This window comes from Homo sapiens, chromosome 4 (genome assembly GCF_000001405.40).
Source record: "Homo sapiens chromosome 4, GRCh38.p14 Primary Assembly".
NCBI lineage: Eukaryota > Metazoa > Chordata > Mammalia > Primates > Hominidae > Homo > Homo sapiens.
The window spans coordinates 103,374,298-103,377,330 of NC_000004.12; the positions used below are offsets into that span (position 1 = coordinate 103,374,298).

Sequence of the window (3,033 nt, forward strand, 5' to 3'; positions counted from 1 at the left end):
CATAGTAGAACATGCATAGTGTGTTTAAGAAACAAGGCAGCAAGGAATACGCCAGCTTGGCTGAAGTAGAACAGGAGGACAGTAGTAGGAGATATGAGCAGAGAGATGTTGAGGAGAGGGCAGACAAATGTAAAAGACTTTGATTTTTACTCTGAATGAGATGGAAAGGCACTGAAGGAATTTATACAAAAGAGTAACATATTCTGACTTTATTTGAAATGCATATGTTAAGTCTATGTGAAGGGAGAACTTTAACATGGAAGAGTGGAAACAATGAGACCAGACAGAAGGCTAGTACAATAATAAAAGAGAGTGATGGTAGCACCTGCAAGAGTTCCAGTTGAGGATTAAACTCTGATTTTTTTTTTATCTTGCCCAAATTCTTATCTAAAAAGTGGTCTGGGGGTCATGCCCTACAAATCATAAATTCTCATCAGATGTGTTTTATTTAATCCTATATATCATGACTTACTTTCCAAACTGACTCTGGCATAACATTACGAGACAAAGAAGAAAATCAAAATATTTTACATCAAAACATGTTTCTTTGCCGTATTTTGAAATGGCCCTGCAGAGCTATTCTTTGTGGGGGAAAATTTGCATCTGTAAAGACTCTCTATTAACATAGCTAGATCTTTTTCTTCCAGACCCTCCTAATCCTAAACAGATTAACTAAGATCTGAATAGGAAACATTTGTCACCTATAGCCTCTAAGGGCAGCCACTCTAAGACTTCAAAAGAACTTTGATCTCTACAATCTTTATCTTAACCTGAACATTCCATTGTTTCTATCTATCCCAGGTCTTTAGACAAACTCAACCAATTGCCAACCACAAAATGTTTAAATTCACCTATAGCCTAGAAGCCCCCACTTTGAGTTGTTCTGCCTTTCTGGACCAAACCAATGTAGTTCTTAAATGTATTTGATTGATGTCTCATGCCTCTCAAAATGTATAAAACCAAGCTGCGTCCCAACCACCTTGGGCACATGTTCTCAGGACTTCCTGAGGGCTGTGTCAAGGGCCATGGTCACTCATATTTGTCTTAGAATAAATCTCTTCAAATATTTCAGAGTTTGACTCTTTTCGTCGACACAGTGGTGGAGATGGTAGGAAGTAGTCAGTCAGTCCTGGATATGTTTTGTATGGAAATCTGCCAGGTTAGATTGACTAAAGGGTAGGGAATGGAGTCCAGGATGACTCAGGGTGTTCGGCCTGAGTAGCCTGAACATTGAAGCTGCCATTGACTGAGATGGACAATCATGTGGGAAAAACGGTTTGAGGGGAAGAATTAGGAGATCAGTTTTGGGCATTGTGATGGTTAATACTGAGTGTCCATTTGACTGGATTGAAGGATGCAAGGTATTGTGCCTGGGTGTGTCTGTGAGGGTGTTGCCAAAGGTGATTAACATTTGAGTCAGTGGGCTGAGTGCCGTGGCTCATGCCTGTTATCCCAGCACTTTGGGAGGCTGAGGCGGGAGGATCACTTGAGGTCAGGAGTTCGAGACCAGCCTGACTAACATGGTAAAACCCCGTCTCTACTAAAAATACAAAAATTAGCTGGCCATGGCAGCAGGCGCCTGTAATCCCAGCTACTCAGGAGGCTGAAGCAGGAGAATCACTTGAACCTGGGAGGCAGAGGTTACAGTGAGCCGAGATCAAGCCATTGTACTCCAGCCTGGGCGACAAGAGCAAAACTCCATCTCAAAAAACAAAACAAAACAACAACAACAAAAAATTTGAGTCAGTGGACTGGGAGAGGCAGACCCACCTTCAATGTGGGTGAGCACAATCTAATCAGCTGCCAGCGTGGCTAGAATAAAGCAGGCAGAAAAAGGAAGAAGTGGACTTGCTTAGTCTTCTGGCCTTCATCTTTCTCCCGTGCTAGATGCTTCCTGCTCTCAAACATCAGACTCCAAGTTCTTTGGCTTTTGGACTCTTGCACCAGTAGTTTGCCTGGGGCTCTCGAGCCTTCAGTCGCCAGCCACAGACTGAAAGCTGCACTGTTGGCCTCCCTACTTTTGAGGTTTTGGAACTTGGACTGGCTTTCTTGCTTCTCAACTTGCAGATGGCCTATTGTGGGACTTCACCTTGTGATCGTGTGAGTCAACTCTCCTTAATAACACCGCTTCGTATATACATCTGTCATATTAGTTCTGTCCCTCTAGAAAACCCTGACTAATAAAGGCATGTTAAATTGGCCTGTTTAATATTCAGGTGGAGTTTTCTGCTGTTCAATACTATGTGAAGATCCTGCAGAATCACTAATATATAGAGTGAGGTTTATTACTCTTGTTAGTCTTCCATTTGTCATTTCTCCACATTTTTGGACTGCTCAAGAGGGTGAACATGATATTGGATACCTTCTACCATGTACACAAGATTTAAGAGAGACTTCTCATGATGGCTTTGTGAACTGAAGTGAGTCATAAATACTGATTAGTTGTCTAACCTAATTATTAGTAGTATATATAATCTTGTCAATATACTTTTCTGGTATTGTTATTCTTTCCTATTTTTATCAATTATTCTAAATTATGATGATTGTCAGTTATTTAATCTACTTAGATGTGTGTAAATCTCATTCATATTTAGATATGACAGTGCATATTAATAATATGTGTTATATTACTTGAATTGCTTTATTTTTTAGAAAAGATCATGATTAATTGAATCATATGCTGTGATGTGTTCCTCTGTTACTCAGGCCTAAAGAGAGTCTTGGAACATTATGTTGTCTCCTGAGAGCTTGCTTAGTGGGAGAATCTGACTTGCAGATAATGCCAAGGGGACAATAAAAGTCTAGCCCAGGCCCTTTAAGTAGAAGCAAATATTCTGCAGCAGATATAAAAATAATAAAATATTACCTTCATAATCAGGTAAAAAATCTACGTAAAAATGTTAAGAGCTCATTAATATTTATGATTGCCCCATATAAGAATAAGAAAGCAGAGAATATAATAATGATATAATTTCTAAAGTCCTAATTATGAACCTGTAAACTTTTTAAGGTCACCTGTTAATCCTTAATTAA

The 3,033-nt window shown here is 39.5% G+C and overlaps 1 annotated feature.

The window, feature by feature from the left end:
* Nucleotides 241–775: an enhancer, noted in NCBI's record as "OCT4-NANOG hESC enhancer chr4:104295695-104296229 (GRCh37/hg19 assembly coordinates)". NCBI's record gives its function as "activates a minimal SCP1, AML or CMV promoter by ChIP-STARR-seq in naive and primed H9 embryonic stem cells {active_cell/tissue: H9 hESC(naive and primed)}" and the evidence as "EXISTENCE:reporter gene assay evidence [ECO:0000049][PMID:30033119]".